The sequence below is a fragment of the Homo sapiens genome, chromosome 2 (assembly GCF_000001405.40).
Source record: "Homo sapiens chromosome 2, GRCh38.p14 Primary Assembly".
NCBI classification, from domain to species: Eukaryota; Metazoa; Chordata; class Mammalia; order Primates; family Hominidae; genus Homo; species Homo sapiens.
In genome coordinates this window covers 226,934,708-226,953,366 of record NC_000002.12, presented here as the reverse complement: position 1 = coordinate 226,953,366, position 18,659 = coordinate 226,934,708, and the positions used below count along the sequence as shown (strand labels likewise).

The 18,659-nt window shown below is 37.8% G+C and overlaps 1 protein-coding gene across 31 annotated transcripts in view, besides 1 other annotated feature; it reads right to left on the bottom strand.

Moving 5' to 3' along the window:
- The window catches only part of RHBDD1 (rhomboid domain containing 1), a 199,052-nt gene that overhangs the window by 45,844 nt on the left and 134,549 nt on the right, over positions 1-18,659 (bottom strand). The window lies entirely within an intron of this gene.
- Positions 1,037-1,237: a silencer, noted in NCBI's record as "peak4067 fragment used in MPRA reporter construct". NCBI's record gives its function as "represses an SCP1 promoter by STARR-seq MPRAs in K562 erythroleukemia cells {active_cell/tissue: K562}" and the evidence as "EXISTENCE:reporter gene assay evidence [ECO:0000049][PMID:32103011]".

Genomic DNA, 18,659 nt, shown 5'->3' with positions numbered 1-18,659 from the left:
TCTCAAACTAACATTTTTCCACAATTTCAAAAAGTGTCAGCTGAGCTCTCCTTAAATGGCACAACCACACCGTTGGGTTATAATCGTCTCTAACTGGTGCTCATGTGAACTGCAACTTTCCTAACCACTAAAGACCTGAAAAAAAAATTTCATTCCTCTCTAATAAGAAACATGTTAAAAGGCATTTTTCTGAAAGGAACACAAGCAGTAATCATTAAAATTCACCGTATTGTGTTAACATTCCTCAAAAGTAAAGACTCAAGCCTAAAGAATACACAAAAAACACGCTATTTTACATTTTCTTAATTGCATCAATTCCAATAAGAACTGGAATGTGATGAAAGTTGGTCTTAATGGCTTCTTTTTTCATCATGGAGACAAATAAGGAAACCATTACCACTTTCCTTTCATCCATCCATCCACCTGTCCCATCCCACCCCATCCCTAAACATTCCCAACCATCTGCTGCCCTTCTCTTTGGTTAGCATTAGTTTATAGGTAGTAGCTATTTTTGTTGATGCCTTACTAGTTCCCTCCACCCCCTCTCCCTCCCTCCCTGTCTCTCTTTCTTCCATTTGACCACATTCCCTGAGGGCAGATAATTTGGTTCTTATCTTTCTTTACATGAGGTGGGCATTGGGGAGGGGAAGAAGCTATCTTCCTCATACCTGGCACAATATAGGTTTTCTATATATTTTTAAAATTATGTATAAAGCATGGAGGACATCCAGTGGATGATACTATGTGTACCTTCAACTTAAAAAGAAAAAAGAAGTCAGGCCGGGAATGGTGGCTCATGCCAGCACTTTGGGAGGCCAAGGTGGGCAGATCACATGAGGCCAGGAGTTTGAGACCAGCTTGGCCAACATGGTGAAACTGAGTCTCTACTAAAAATTCAAAAATTAGCTGGGCGTGGTGGCATGTGCCTGTAATTCCAGCTATTTGGGAGTCTGAGGCATGAGAATCACTTGAACCCGGGAGGCAGAAGTTGTACTGGGCTGAGATAGTGCCATTGCACTCCAGCCTGGATGACACAGCCAGACTCTTTCTCAAAAAAAAAAAAAAAAAAAAAACCAAACCAAAACAAAACAAAAAAAACAGGAAGCACCCACTACCTTCTGCTACAGCTTTTTGGGAGATACAAAAATAAATGTGGGCCTCTCACTTTGATTCTCAGGGAACTCTTCTCCTAAGAGGAGATGAGGAGATAAAGACCTGTTAGTATCACCTGGGGAGCTTATAGAGCAATTCCAGTGCTTGGGCTGCACGCTACCATCTCTGTGCACACTCCCTCACCCCAACTCCACTAGCTACAGATTCTGATTTGTTCTGGGGCCAGAGCACTGGCAACTGTACAAAGCTCCCCAAATGATTCTAATAGATAGCCAGGGTTGAGAACAACCAAAATTTCTGAGAGAAACATCTCCTCTAGTTATTTAAAACTATTAGCAAAGTATATCTTTGGTCTTTCTTGAATTGTAGTCCTTGGATACATGCACAATCTCCATTAATTCACTGAAACATGTCGGACAACAAAGGTTATTCTCTTTTGTTCAGAAATCACCTAAAGACATTGCAACTATGAATATATTTAGTTCTTGACATGAGCTGTATCTTACATAAAAGTTCACTCTCCTTTATTTATTCTTAACATCATCTTTAAATTCTGCCTTTCCATTGAATTGGAAGATTATATAGACAGTTAGCTGTTAACTGTGGGTTGGAAAACATTTGGGATTTCATATTCCCTGGCCTTTCCCCGATATCTACTGAAGACCCTGAAAATATTCAATCATGAACTCTACAGTGAAGTTCCCATAGGAAGCTTAAAGTTTGACCAAGAAGTCATTAATAGCCAACACTTAAAAAAATTAATTTGAAAACTTTTCATGAATATTTTACAAACAAAACTCTAATTTGCTAAATTTTCTAATTTCACTTCAACAGGAATGAGTATGAGAACAAAAAATATGAGTTAACTAAACTATTGAAGTACTGGTAGCATTTAGCAGAATACTAATATTAATAATAGTATTATTATGTTATTGTTATTCGCTGAATTGTATATCCTCAAAATTCACCTGTGGCAGCCCTAAACCCCAGTACTACAGAAAGAGACTGTATTTGGAGATAGGGCCTTTAAAGATGTGATGTAGTTAAACGGAAGCCATTAGGATACCCATAGGCAGAAGGGCAATATTAGATTTTTATCTCACACCATGTACAAAAATCCACTTGAAATAGATTTAAGACTTAAACATAAGACCTGAAACTGTAAACCTACTAGAAGAAAATGGAGGGGAAGAGCTCCATTACATTGGTCTGGGCAATAATTTTTTAGATATGACCCTGAAAGCATGGTCGACAAAATCAAGAATAGACAAACAAGATTACATAAAATGAAAAAGCTTCTGCACCACAAAGGAAACAAAGTGAAGAGACAACTGATGGAATGGGAAAAATTTCATGTCTGCAAACCATACATCTGATAATGCATTAGTATAAAAAACATAAGAAACTCAACTCAAAGGCAAGAAAACAACCCAATTTTTAAAATGGACAAAGGACCTGAACAGACATCTCTCAAAGGATGACATATGAATGGCCAACAGGTATGTGAAAAATGCTCACTAAATATCAGGGAAATGCTAATTGAAACCACAGTGAGGTATCACCTACCTCACACTTGTTAGAATGGCTATTATCAAAAAGATGAAAGATAAGTCTTGGAGAGGATGTGGAGAAAGGGGAACTCTTGCACACTGCTGGTGGGAATATAAGTTGGTACAGCCATTATGGAAAACAGCATGGAGTTTCCTCTAAAGGAACTGAAGTCAGTAGGTTGAAGAGATATCTGCACTCCCATGTTCATTGAGGCATTATTCACAATAGCCAGTAATCAACCTAAGTGTCCATCAACAGGTGAATGAATAAATAAAACATGGTAACATATACACAATGAATACTATTCAGCCTTAAAACAGAAAGAAATCCTCCATGTTGTCATTTCCAACAACGTGGAGGAAACTGGAGGACAATACATTAAATAAAATAAGCCAGGCACAGAAAGACAAATACTGTATGATCTCACTTATATATGGAATCTTAAAAAACTGAACTCACAGAAGCAGAGAGCAGAAGGGTGGCTACAGAGCTGCAAGCTGGGGAGACCCTGGGTCAAAGGGTACAAAATTTCAGTTAGACAGAGATCTATCTATGATACAGTGACTGTACAACAGTGACTACAGTTGATAACAATGTATTGTATTCTTGAAAATCATGAAGAGTAGATTTTTAGGGCTCTTATCACAAAAACTAAGGATGTAAGGTAACTTATGTTAATTAGGTTGTTTAGCCATTCCACAATAGATATGCATTTCAAAACATTGTGGAGTACGTGAAAAACAGATACAATTTTGATCAACTAAATAATTAATTTTTACAAATAAGGCCATTAGAGTGATCCTTAAACCAATCTGACTAGTATCCTTATAAGAGAGGGAAATTTGGATGCAAAAAGAGACACCAAGGACACGTGCACAGAGGAAAGAGCATGGGAGGACACGGGGGAAAGGCCATCTGCAAGCCAAGGAGAGCAGCCTCAGGAGAAGCCAAACCTGTCGGCACCTTGATCTTGAACTTCCTGCCTCTGGAGATGTGAGAAAATACATTTATGTGTTTAAACTACCCAGACTGTGGTATTTAGTTATGATGGTCCTAGCAAACTAATATAATTATTAATCAAATTATTAATACAAATATCACTATTATTATGTCCTACCAATACAATATGAAAGGCAAAACAATGTAACAATAAAGTACATAGACTGTGAAATGAAACTGACTGGGTTCCATCCAGTCTCAGCCCTACCCTTTATTAGCTATGGGACCTATGTCAGCCTCCCAGCAATGTCCACATCCATGTACACACACATATACAGGTCACTTACAATGCTGCTGGTATACATGCTATGACTCACTTAAATTCTTTGCCCCCAACTTCCCCTAACCTAACAGAGTGGTCTTAAAACCCAGATTTTTGCTTAGGATTGTCTTGGCTATACAGACTCTTTTTTGGTTCCATATGAAATTTAGTTTTTTCTAATTATGTGAAGAAAGTCAATGGTAGCTTGATGGGAGTAGCAGTAAATCTATAAATTACTTTGGGCAGTATGGCCATTTTCACGATATTGATTCTTCCTATCCATGAGCATGGAATGTTTTTCCATTTGTTTGTGTCCTTTATTTCCTTGAGCAGTGGTTTGTAGTTCTCCTTGAAGAGGTCCTTCACATCCCTTGTAAGTTGTATTCCTAGATATTTTATTCTCTTTGTAGCAATTGTGAATGGGAGTTCACTCATGATTTGGCTATTATTGGTGTGTAGGAATGCTTGTGATTTTTGCACATTGATTTTTGTATCCTGAGACTTGGCTAAAGTTGCTTATCAGCTTAAGAGGCTTTTGAGCTGAGACGATGGGGTTTTCTGGATATAGGATCATGCCATCTGCAAACAGAGACAATTTGACTTCCTCTCTATTTGAATGCCCTTTATTTCTTTCTCTTGCCTGATTGCCCTAGCCAGAACTTACAATACTATGTTGAACAGGAGTGGTGAGAGAGGGCAACCTTGTCTTGTGTTGCTTTTCAAAGGGAAGTCTTCCAGCTTTTGCCCATTAAGTATGATATTGGCAGTGGGTTTGTCATATATGGCTCTTATTATTTGGAGGTATGTTTCTTCAATACCTAGTTTATTTTATTTTTTTTTATTTTTATTTTTTTCGTTTTTTTTTTTTTTTTTTTTTATACTTTAAGTTTTAGGGTACATGTGCACATTGTGCAGGTTAGTTACATATGTATACATGTGCCATGCTGGTGCGCTGCACCCACTAACTCGTCATCTAGCATGAGGTATGTCTCCCAATGCTATCCCTCCCCCCTCCCCCTACCCCACCACAGTCCCCAGAGTGTGATATTCCCCTTCCTGTGTCCATGTGATCTCATTGTTCAATTCCCACCTATGAGTGAGAATATGCGGTGTTTGGTTTTTTGATCTTGCGATAGTTTACTGAGAATGATGATTTCCAATTTCATCCATGTCCCTACAAAGGACATGAACTCATCATTTTTTATGGCTGCATAGTATTCCATGGTGTATATGTGCCACATTTTCTTAATCCAGTCTATCATTGTTGGACATTTGCGCTGGTTCCAAGTCTTTGCTATTGAGAATAATGCCGCAATAAACATAAGTGTGCATGTGTCTTTATAGCAGCATGATTTATAGTCATTTGGGTATATACCCAGTAATGGGATGGCTGGGTCAAATGGTATTTCTAGTTCTAGATCCCTGAGGAATCGCCACACTGACTTCCACAATGGCTGAACTAGTTTACAATCCCACCAACAGTGTAAAAGTGTTCCTATTTCTCCACATCCTCTCCAGCACCTGTTGTTTCCTGACTTTGTAATGATTGCCATTCTAACTGGTGTGAGATGGTATCTCATAGTGGTTTTGATTTGCATTTCTCTGATGGCCAGTGATGATGAGCATTTTTTCATGTGTTTTTTGGCTGCATAAATGTCCTCTTTTGAGAAGTGTCTGTTCATGTCCTTCGCCCACTTTTTGATGGGGTTGTTTTTTTCTTGTAAATTTGTTTGAGTTCATTGTAGATTCTGGATATTAGCCCTTTGTCAGATGAGTAGGTTGCGAAAATTTTCTCCCATTTTCTTCACAGAATTGGAAAAAACTACTTTAAAGTTCATATGGAACCAAAAAAGAGCCTGCATCGCCAAGTCAATCCTAAGCCAAAAGAACAAAGCTGGAGGCATCACACTACCTGACTTCAAACTATACTACAAGGCTACAGTCACCAAAACAGCATGGTACTGGTACCAAAACAGAGATATAGATCAATGGAACAGAACAGAGCCCTCAGAAATAACGCCGCATATCTACAACTATCTGATCTTTGACAAACCTGAGAAAAATAAGCAATGGGGAAAGGATTCCCTATTTAATAAATGGTGCTGGGAAAACTGGCTAGCCATATGTAGGAAGCTGAAACTGGATCCCTTCCTTACACCTTATACAAAAATCAATTCAAGATGGATTAAAGATTTAAACGTTAGACCTAAAACCATAAAAACCCTAGAAGAAAACCTAGGCATTACCATTCAGGACATAGGCATGGGCAAGGACTTCATGTCCAAAACACCAAAAGCAATGGCAACAAAAGACAAAATTGACAAATGGGATCTAATTAAACTAAAGAGCTTCTGCACAGCAAAAGAAACTACCATCAGAGTGAACAATACCTAGTTTATTGAGAGTTGTTAACATGAAGGGATGCTGAATTTTATTGAAAGCCTTTTCTGCATCTATTGAGATAATCATGTGGTTTTTGTCATTGGTTCTGTTTATGTGATGAATTATGTTTACTGATTCGTGTATGTTGAACCAGCCTTGCATCCAGGGATGAAGCCAACTTGATCGTGATGAATAAGCTTTTGATGTGCTGCTGGATACATACATTTCAGAACTTGTTATTGGTCTATTCAGGGATTCGACTTCTTCCTGATTTAGTCTTGGGAGGGTATATTCCTGTGTCCAGGAATTTATCCATTTCTTCTAGATTCTCTAGTTTATTTGCTTGGAAGTATTTATAGTAGTTTCTGATAGTAGTCTGTATATCTGTGGGATCAGTGGTGATATCCCCTTTATCATTTTTTATTGTGTCTATTTGATTCTTCTCTCTTTTCTTCTTTGTTAGTCTGGCTAGTGGTCCGTTTTGTTAATCTTTTCAAAAAACCAGCTCCTAAATTCATTAACTTTTTGAAGGGTTTTCATGTCTCTAACTCCTTCAGTTCTGCTCTGATCTTAGTAATTTCTTGTCTTCTGACTTCAAACTACACTACAAGGCTACAGTAGCCAAAACAGCATGGTACTGATACCAAAACAGATATATAGACCAATGGAACAGAACAGAGGCCTCAGAAATAACACCACACATCTACAACCATCTGATCTTTGACAAACTTGACAAAAAAAATTAACTCAAGATGGATTAAAGACTTAAACATAAGACCTAAAACCATAAAAACCCTAGAAGAAAATCTAGGCAATACCATTCAGAACATAGGCATGGGCAAAGACTTCATGACTAAAACACCAAAAGCAATGGCAACAAAAGCCACAATTGACAAACGGGATCTAATTAAACTAAAGAGCTTCTGCACAGCAAAAAAAACTATCATCAGAGTGAACAGGCAACCTACATGATGGGAGAAAATTTTTGCAATCTATCCATCTGACAAAGGGCTAATATCCAGAGTCTATGAGGAACTTAAACAAATTTACAAGAAAAAACAACCACATCAAAAAGTGGGCGAAGGTTATGACAGACACTTCTCGAAAGAAGACATTTATGTGGCCAACAAACATAGGAAAAAAAAACCTTATCACCGGTCATTAGAGAAATACAAATCAAAACCATGAGATACCGTCTCATGCCAGTTAAAATGGTGATCATTAAAATGTCAGTAAAAAACAGATGCTGGAGAGGATGTGGAGAAACAGGAACACTTTTACACTGTTGGTGGGAGTGTAAATTAGTTCAACCATTGTGGAAGACAGTGTGGTGATTCCTCAAGGATCTAGAACCAGAAATACCATTGGACTCAGCAATCCCAGTACTGGGTATATACCCAAAGGATTATAAATCATTCTACTATAGACACATGCAGACGTATGTTTACCGCGGCACTACTCACAATAGCAAAGACTTGGAACCAACCCAAAGGCCCATCAACGATAGGCTGGATAAAGAAAATGTGGCACATATAAACCATGGAATACTATGTAGCCATAAAAAAGGATGAGTTCATGTCTGTTGCAGGGACATGGATGAAGCTGGAAACCATCATTTTCAGCAAACTAACACAGGAACAGGAAACCAAACACCATATGTTCTCACTCATAAGTGGGAGTTGAGCAATGAGAACACATGGACATAAGGAGGGGAACATCACACACCCGGGCCTGTCAGGGCGTGGGAGGCTAGGGGAGGGATACCATTAGGAGAAATACCTAATGAGAATGACAGGTTGATGGGTGCAGCAAAGCACCATGGCACATGTATACCTATGTAACAAACCTGCACATTCTGCACATGTATCCCAGAACTTAAAGTATAATAATAATAATAATAATAATAATAATAATCAGATTTGATCTTGTTTCCACTGTCCTCAGGATTAAACACAAAACCTTCAAACACATCATACTGAGCCCTTCACAACTTGATTCCTACTTATCTCTGCCCTCTGATAAATTGCAATCCTCCCCACAAATCTCCCCATGAAAAATACATTGTAACCACAACCAACCTAGTTCCTCCAACAGACTGTCTCCCTATTCCTGGGCTTTTATCTATTTTCTTTGCTCCCCTCGCTCCTCTATGAAAATCCTTCACTAAGGTCTCATCACATTCAAGGGGAAACAAAAATCCATCAATAGACCATGGCCAGGAACTCACTAATTCAAATTTGGCATCAATACCCAGATTGTCCAAAACTTAGACTTTAAACATTGATTTATACAACAAAGGATGTTCACTACCTAAGTATTCTGTCAATCTTTAAGCCAAATAAGGTGACAGAAAATATTATAATATCACTACAGCCACTCAGGAGGAAAATCTATGAATTCTGAGTTTAGAGTGAATGATATCCCATTTGTATACCTCTCTTTTCTGTTTGCTGTAGGTATAATTTTCACTGTATTTTTTTAAGTGTTAAGTAGTTGTCTATTCGTGTAACTGCAAACAGCAGAGAAAGACACGCTTTTCAGAACACAAGTCTCGGCATTTTTAAGGAGAGTGCTCCTGCGGTCTCATTATTCTGCCAGTTAATTGACAGGACAGAACGTCCTAATTGCTTATTAACTCTGACAGTGTCCCCCTAGCCTGGTGGCAAGGTCTAAGAGACACAGAACGCACAGCAATTGTACAACCGCTGCTCCTCTAGGGGCACAGAGCCTCAGGTTCAAGCAGCTACAAAACAGCAGATGTTTTTATTTTCGTTTTAAAAAATCCTATCTACAATAGAGTAGAATTTGGTAGTAGGTTATTTTCTCCTTAGAGTAATAAGATGAACCACACTGCTGATTAAGTATTATTTGCTTGGGCCAAAACATCCTGCACAGCCATTGCATATGGAAGTCATCCTTGGTTTAGATTGAATCTGCCAAAATGACAACTGATTTAAGAGGCACTCAGTGGTCTTTCACTTCCCCCTGTCGCTACCACCAGCAAGACTATACTGAGCAAAGGCATAACAGAAACAAGCTGTCAACACAGGCCAATGGCCTGTCAACAATGGCCACTTGGATCCCTTCCTCAGAGCACACAGAGAAATCCAGAAGTCCACTGCACAGGTGGGCCTACAGACCAAGAAGCACTGTTTATGTGGTTTTGTAATACATAAAACTTTAAAATAACAATGAGCAAATAATGAAGGCTACCAAAGGGGGATGAAATGCAGCATAACCTGACAAATGTCACAATCTCAAAGTTATATGCAAAATAGGCCTTACTAGGCCTGCGTTATGTAAGTCAGGGACTTATTTCCCTCCTCTCCAAAAAGCATGCTCTAGACAATAGTAAATTACTTGAGGTTTAAAATTTATCTTTGTCATAGCACAGTGTGCAAAAGAAGGGCCTTACTAACCCCCAGAGACCCAGCTTATTTAAAGACACAATGAAGAGAGTAGGTGTTCTATATAGATGTCACTTCTAGAGTACACTTATTAAACACTATCTCCTGTAATGTCCATGGGCTACATTTTATTTTAGCATCACGCTAGCCAGAAGCAAGTGGTTCCCTTTTAGACTCATTGAGTTGAAAATCAAAAACTACTGGGCTTTGGATTGTTCTGGTTTGATCTGTAAAGAATCCCGATGCAATGATTCAAGAGTCACCTCATATCATGATTTGTTTCACCTGTCTCCTATGACTGCACACTCAGGCCATCTGCAATTTTTCCAAAGCAAATAATTAGAGTGTAATTTTAATCAGTTTAATATTTATAGTAATCTTTATACTTTTGCACAATTTGGGCCAGGTATCTATTAAGGAGATCTTTGGTCCTCTGATTGAGATTAGTGAAGATACACAAATACGTGACTCTCACATCTGGCTCTCCATAACTAAGTACAACACGATTATAGTTTTGAATCACTGGAGAACTGCCATGAGATGACACTAGACCACCTTGAGGCTGTTTGTGACTGTATAATAAATGGAAACCAACATATGACTCTTGGTTTTTCTCACCAGCAACACAACACAATATAATGGATGGGAGAATGGGTATAACTGTAAGATTGTTTAAGAGAGGCAGAGCGGACAACAGCGGAAATTCTCATGTGAATAATTCCCACTAATAAGTAACTGGAGTAATGGGAAATAGCTCAACATAAAATTGTGATGTCTTAAGGCACACTTAATGCAAGCACATTTATTCTTTTCTATTATGAATCATTTCTTTTCTAAAAGGAAAACTATTAAAGACAAATTAAGTTCTATTTAAATTAACAATGCAAATATCCTTAATTCAAATGTCACTAATATTTAAAAATTAAAAAAAATCCAAACCAAACAAACAAAAAAAACTTAGCTAAACATATATGAATAGATAAAGACAAAAGTAAGATAATTGTCATTGCTATCTCTGTAAATAATGCAGTCTTTTTAATTTAGCAAAGAATTATCAATAGTGGCCACACATACCTCTGAGTTTTCAGTTTTCTGAATTCAAGATGATCACAACGGCTGGGCACGGTGGCTCACGCCTGTAATCCCAGCACTCTGGGAGGCCAAGGCGGGTGGATCATGAGGTCAGGAGATCAAGACCATCCTAGTTAACACGGTGAAACCCTGTCTCTACTAAAAATACAAAAAATTAGCCGGGTGTGGTGGCGGGCACCTGTAGTCCCAGCTACTCAGGACGCTGAGGCAGGGAGAATGGCATGAACCCGGGAAACAGAGCTTGCAGTGAGCCGAGATCATGCCACTGCACTCCAGCCTGGGTGACAGAACGAGACTCTGTCTCAAAAAAAAAAAAAAAGATGATCACGACAGCCAATCTAACTCCAAGAATACAAACATCCTCCAGCTAAGTTACATGGGCCAATTATATGACAGGCTACAGACTTACAAGAAAACCATGTTAATCTCTACTTAGTTAACTGACAATTCAGTAGCAGCCTAGATATACTTTTTCTGAGGAGGCTATAATATTGTATAACGTAAAAAGTGTCCCAACTAGGAATAGAGACATCTGGCCCTCTAATCTGATATTTACCACTTAGAATGTGACCCTGAAAAAGTCATTTGATTTCTCTGTGCCTCTGCCTCACAATCTAAAACAATGAAAATAATTTAAAATATTTATTTTATAGGGTTCTGCGTGGGTAAGTGAATCTTCTCAGCATAGTCATTACCACCTAATACTCATTAACCTGGAAGGAATTTCACCAAAATATTTACAGTGCTTTCCTCTAGGTGCCTGTGTTATGGGTATGTGCATGGATATAACCCAAATGCGAAGTGGCTTTTCTATGTTTGGTGAAATTATAGATTACTTTTTTGACTTCTTGCTGGTTTGTATTTTCCATAGTGTATAAATATTACTTTCAAAATCAAAACAAATGCTAGACAACATCTAAAAGACCAGAATAGATGAGCTCAAGTACCATTTTCATCTCTCTCAGGCTCTCAGCATGGTCCACCTTGGGACTACTTGGAATTCAGGTGGGATTTCTAGAAAAGTCAATTCCCATAGCAAAACAAAACCCGAACTGCACGCTCATCACAGCACGCATATAACAAGTGTTAACACACATATATCAGAACTGTTTCTCACACTTCATCACCTACTTGTCTCCTACACCTCCAAAGGCCAGGTGGACTTGCCCCTGCCAGCAGGAAAAGGGCTGAGAGTCCATTTGCAGTCAAGCCCAGAAGGCTGAAGGCCGATGGAGAAGTGCACTTGAGGTTCAGCTCTAGGGAGACTCATGGGAGCCCTAGAAAATGTGAGTCCAGGCCGGTCGGGGTGGCTCACGCCTGTAATCCCAGCACTTTGGGAGGCTGAGGCGGGTGGATCACCTGAGATCGGGAGTTTGAGACCAGCCTGGCCAACAGAAACCCCATCTCTACTAAAAACAAACAAACAAACAAACAACAACAAAAAAGCTTTGCTGGGCATGGTGGTGCATGCCTGTAATCCCAGCTACTAGGCGGGCTGAGGCAGGAGGATTGCTTGAACCTGAGAGGTGGAGGTTGCAGTGAGCCGAGATCATGCCACTGCACTCCAGCCTGGGCAATAGAGCGAGATTCCATCTCAAAAAAAAAAAAAAGGAAAAAGAAAATGTGAGTCTAATCTAGCACTTTCCAGAGAGGTTCTGACTCCCAGGCTGCCCACAGACCAACCTAGGGAACCAACCTACTTCACATCTGTATTCCTAGGGCAGGACACTGTCAATAGTAATCCTGGTCACAGTTAATGGGCCAGTATACTGTGACAGAGAATTAAGCCTCTTGTTTTCTCTGTTTCCTGATCTGAAACCAACGTGTCAGATATGATGACCTCTAAGTTTGCTTTCAGTGCTAGCATATTACAGTTCTATTTGAAAACAGTACTGCCTATCTCACTCTCCATCATCTATCTACTTTAGAAACAATTTGAATTACTTTTTAATTAAAATTTTTAATGAATTATAATAATCATATATAATTGTGGGCATATAATCATGTCATGAGATACACACACACACACAAGCAAATAAATTAAGCAAATGATCTTAGTAATATATCCCTTCCCAAGACTTAAATGGCAGTTATACACCTAATATTTTTAACAACGTGGCTCTTTATAAATACCAAAAGAGACAATTCATAATTGAAGATATAAATATTAAGACAAAGCCTTTTAAAATGTTACAGACATGTTTGATGCGTACAATTAGATAGTTTCTTTTGGTGTGCAGAAGCTCTTTTAGATCCTTTTTTCAAGCGTCACTTTTGTTGCAACTGCTTTTGGCATCTTCATCATGAAATCTTTGCCCATAACTACGTCCTGAATGGTACTGCCTGAGGTATTGCACCAGCCTGATCGAATCCCAACAATTGCCTAGGTTTTCCTCTAGGGTTTTTACAGTTTTTGGTTTTACATTTAAGTCTTTGATCCATCTTGAGCTGATTTTTTTATAAGGTGTAGGGAAGGGGTCCAGCTTTAGTCTTCCACATATGGCTAACCAGTTCTCCCAGCACCATTTATTAAATAGGGAATCCTTTCCCTATTGCTTTTGTCAGTTTTGTCAAAGATCAGATAGTTGTAGGTGTACACAGTCTTATTTCTGGGTTCTCTATTCTGTTCCATTGGTCTATGTGTCTATTCTTGTGCCACTACCATACTGTTTTGGTTACTGTGGCCCTGTAGCATAGTTTGAAGTTGGGTAGTGTGATGCCACCAGCCTTGTTCTTTTTGCTTAGGATTGCCTTGGCTATTTGGGCTCCTTTTTGGCTCCATATGAATTTTAAAGTAATTTTTTTCTAGTTCTGTGAGAAATGTCAATGGTAGTTTAATGGGACTAGCATTGAATCTATAAACTGCTTTGGGAAGTGTGACCATTTTCATGATATTGATTCTTCCTATCCATGAGCATGGAATGCTTTTCCATTTGTTTGTGTCCTCTCTGATTTATTTGAGCAATGGTTTCTGGTTCTCCCTCTGGAGGTCCTTCACTTCCCTTGTTAGCTGTACTCCTCGGCATCTGTAGCAACTGTGAATGGGAGTTCATTCGTGATTTGGCTCTCAGCTTGTCTGTTGTTGGTGTATAGGAATGCTAGCAATTTGTGCACATTGATTTTGTATCCTGAGACTTTGCTGAAGTTGCTTATCAGCTTAAGAAGCTTTTGGGCTGAGACGACGGAGTTTTCTGGATATAGGATCATGTCATCTACAAACAAAGATAGTTTGACTTCCTCTCTTCCTAAATACCTTTTATTTCTTTCTCTTGTTCGATTGCCCTGGCCGGAACTTCCAATACTATGTTGAATAGGAGTGGTGAGAGAGGGCTTCCTTGTCTTGTGCCAGTTTTCAAAGTGAATGCTTCCAGCTTTTGCCCATTCAGTATGATATTGGCTGTGGGTCTGTAATATATGGCTCTTATTATTTGGAGGTATGTTTCTTCAATACCTAGTTTATTGACAGTTTTTAACATGAAGCGATGTTGAATTTTATTGAAAGCCTTTTCTGCATCTATTGAGATAATCAAGTGATTTTTGTCTTTAGTTCTGTTTGTGTGATGAATTATGTTTATTGATTTGCAAATGTTGGACCAGCCTTGCATCCAGAGATGAAGCCTACTTGATCCTGATGGATAAGCTTTTTGATGTGCTGCTGGATTTGGTTTGCCAGTATTTTGTTGAGGATTTTTGCATTGATGTTCATCAAAGATATTGGCCTAAAATTTTCCTTTTTTGTTGTATCTCTGCCAGGTTTTGGTATCAGGATGATGCTGGACTCATAGAATGAGTTAGCAAGGAGTCCGTTTTTTTTTTCTTTCATTTTTTTGTAATAGTTTCAACAGGAATGGTACCAGCTCTTCTTTGTATCTCTGATAGAATTCAGCTGTGAATCCGTCTGGTCCTGGGCTTTTTGTGGTTGGTAGGCTATTTATTACTGCTTCAATTTCAGAACTTGTTATTGGTCTCTTCAGGGATTCAATTTCTTCCTGCTTCAGTCTTGGAAGGGTGTATGTACATGAATTTATCCATTTCTCCTAGATTTTCCAATTTACTTGCATAGAGGTATTTATAATATTCTCTGATTATTGTTTGTACTTCTGTGGGGTCAGTGGCAATATCCCCCTTATCATTTCTGATTCTGCACAGCAAAAGAAACTATCAACAAAGTGAACCAACTACAGAAGGGAAGAAAATTTTTACAAACTATGCATCTGATAAAGGTCTAATATCCAGCATCTATAAGGAACTTAAACAAATTTACAAGAAAAAAACAACCCCATTAAAAAGTGGGCAAAGGACATGAAAAGACACTTTTCGAAAGAAGACATACATGTGGTGAAAAATCTATGAAAAAAACCTCAACATCACTGATCATTAGATAAATGCAAATCAAAACCACGAGATACCATCTCACATCAGTCAGAATGGCTATTACTAAAAAGTAAAAAAATAACAGCTGCCGGCGAGATTGTGGAGAAAAAGGAATGCTTTTACACTGTTGGTGGGAATGTAAATTAGTTCAGCCATTGTGGAAGACACTGAGGTGATTCCTCAAAGACCTAGAAACAGAAATACCATTCAACCCAGCAATCCCATTACTGGGTATACACCCATAGGAATATAAATTGTCCTATTATAAAAACACATGCACGTGTATGTTCACTGCAGCACTATTCACAATAGGAAAGACATGGTATCAACCCAAATGCCCATCAATGATAGACTGGATAAAGAAAATGTGGTACGTATACACCATGTAATACTATGCAGCCACAACAAAACCGAAATGATGTCTTGTGCAAGGACATGAGTGAAGCTGGAGGCCATTATCCTTAGCAAACTAACGCAGGAACAGAAAACTTAATACCGCATGTTCTCACTTATAAGTGAGAGATAAATGATGAGAACGCATGGACACACGGAGATGAATAATGCACAATGGTGCCTATTGGAGGGTGGAGGGCAAGAGGAAGAAGAGGACCAGGAAAAATAGCTAGTGGATTATAGGCTTAATACCTGGGTGGTAAAATAATCTGTACAACAAACCTCCATGACACACGTTTACATATTTAACAAACCTGCATTTCCTGCACATGTACCCCTGAACTTAAAATAAAAGTTAAAAAAAGAAAGGAATTAGAAAGGCTCAAATTAAAAAAGAACAAAATTTTATTCACTGAAAATATCAACTATTGAGTTTATAAAACAAAGTCTAGTGTCTGCAGCTCAAAAAGCGGGTACTATTTTATTTTTTAGTACAGATACATAGTATAAAAACTTGTTCACACCCTCAAGTTTTGTTGAATGAGAACATAAGATTGATTGCTATTGTAAAGTACTGTCTGATGTATCTTTTCCAAATTAATACATTTTTATAAAAATCACAAGAGTTTGTGAATCAGGCCTAGAAAGTAAGTTTTCTTCAATTATATGTGATCTCATTAAATACAGAATATACACATCAAAAACTTCTGAGGCTAAAAATTATATGAATAACTTGAGTATCTAAATCACTGTATTATAATCAACTTCGTTTTCTGTAAATTCTTTCATAACTTAGGGAATCATGGTTGCTGAAGTAGAGAATGTCACATATTGATAAGTAAAGCAATGACCTCACTTGAAGTCAAAAGTTACTATATCTCTTTCCTAAATCTAATATATTGCTTAGCTTAACTGAAATAGGTCATTTAAATCGCTTGTCATTTGGCAGAAAGAAGAATATTTTTACCTTGATAGTAATGAACAAGATTTATTCATTTCTATAGCCTACAGTACTTAACCGCCTAAAATGCTGACACATATGAAGGGCTCAAATAAGGTTCTGTTGAGTAGCAGAATGAATGACGGTACTGAGCAACATCATGAGTGTGCAAAGAAATATTTCTGAAATCATTAAGATTTGGTAGCCCAAAACGTAGTCTCCATCAGTTGTGGGGGATATGGGTAGAATTAATTCATTACATTTTTCTTTACGCTTTTATTGTTAAATCTTCTCATCAGCATCCAAATAATGCCTTTCAATAAATGATTATTATGGGGGTAGGTGGTAGAGAAAAGATTACATATAAATTAATTCACAGATAACTAGTAAGGTCAGTTTCCCAAACATTTAAATTCCATGTATCTCTCTCTCTCTTTTTTAAAGCAATGGCTGGGCTTCAGTTAATATTTTAAATTATTGAACCTAATTTCATAGATTTGAAAAAGTATAGGTAGATATAAGTACAATCTAAGATATAAGTACAATTTTATAGCACTGTAAATGTAGATATAACCACAATCTAGATATAAGCACAATCTGTTGTAAAATTTCACATCTAGATACATTCTCAAATATCAAACTTTTATTCACTGAAATGAAAACCTTCAATACACACAGCAGCAAGTAAGAATCAGTAATCTAAAGCAAGTGTTGTTTTGCATTGAAATTGCTTTTAGACAATCTGGCAGATGGTACTTTTTTATTACATAGAAAGTTTTCCTGGGGGAGAACATACCAAATTACTTTTTAAAAAAAAGAAGTTAAGTGGTCACACAGAATTAGTCGTACATCTCTGTCCTGGCTATAATGTTTCTGCTATGCCAAGCAAGGCAGCAGTGAAAATTTGCATACATTAAAAATTGCCAATTGCATTATGCCTGCACTGGGCCAATAAAGGCTTGTATAATCACGCAACTGAATAAGGTACTACCATCTAATACATGTGTTTATCAAGTTAGATCTGCTTTATATAGCTGTTTGAATTTATCTTTCAGAGATCTTTCATCTGTAAGCCCTGAGACCTGTATGTCAAAAACTCACATTCCTGACATCTCCCAAAACTCCCATCTCTTTTTAGCTATGTTCTCCTCAGAATCATGGAACTGGAAGAGACTCTGAAGCATAACCAATTCGATTCCTTCATTATAAAAAAAAAAAATAAAACTGAGATCTGATCAGATTCAGTGACTCACAGCACAAATAAAGTTAGTTAATGGTTATGCTAGGAATGAAACTCAGGTCACTGAAATTCCCATCGTTTTTTCTTTGTAACACACCATCAAAGATGAAAAGAACATCAACATAATTTATCCAATTCTTTACAAAAATTGCCACACAGTAAGACAAATAAATGTTACTTTTACATACCTTGATGTTGCATCAGAAAAAAGAAAAATGTACAACTTAATTAAATAAATTATCTCCCCTTTTTAACTTAAAGCGTATCTCAATTGGTCCCTATGAATATATGATTGCTCATAAACAGGATTCAAAGGGATCATTAAATGCTCTGTTAACAAAGCACTACATATTAATTTGAAATCTAAATATTTTTTCTAATATGGCTTTCCCGGTTTTTACATCTAGAGACTAAGAAACAAAGCAGCAATCAGTTTCATTCTCAAGCCAAGACTTTTGTAGTATATTCCACCATAGTTTCATATATGCTACCTAGCAACCTCAACTGTGTAGTGCAGAGCTGGGGGTGACAATTCTGCTTGATTTTTTCACAAGACAGCCAAAGTGTGATTGTGGCCATTTGCCTTTCAGAAGAATCTAAGAAAAGAAGCACAAGTTACTCCACATGTCAGTAAGGATTTCCGGCTTCAACCAGTACCCATGCTGCACGCTGGCAGATAGAAATTGAAAAGGACAGAGCTTTGTACCCAGCACCAACTTAACCTGGTGGCAGGCTATTTAAAAAAAAAAAGAAAAGAAAAAGGCATAAATTATGCACAGAGGGATGTGGGGTTGGGGGAGAAAAAAAATGCAAGGAGCTAATGTTCCTAGTTGGCATCTGCCTTTTGACTCAAAGAAAAACATGGCTCCTTTCCAAAATTTTTCTATTACTGTGGTATCAGCTGCC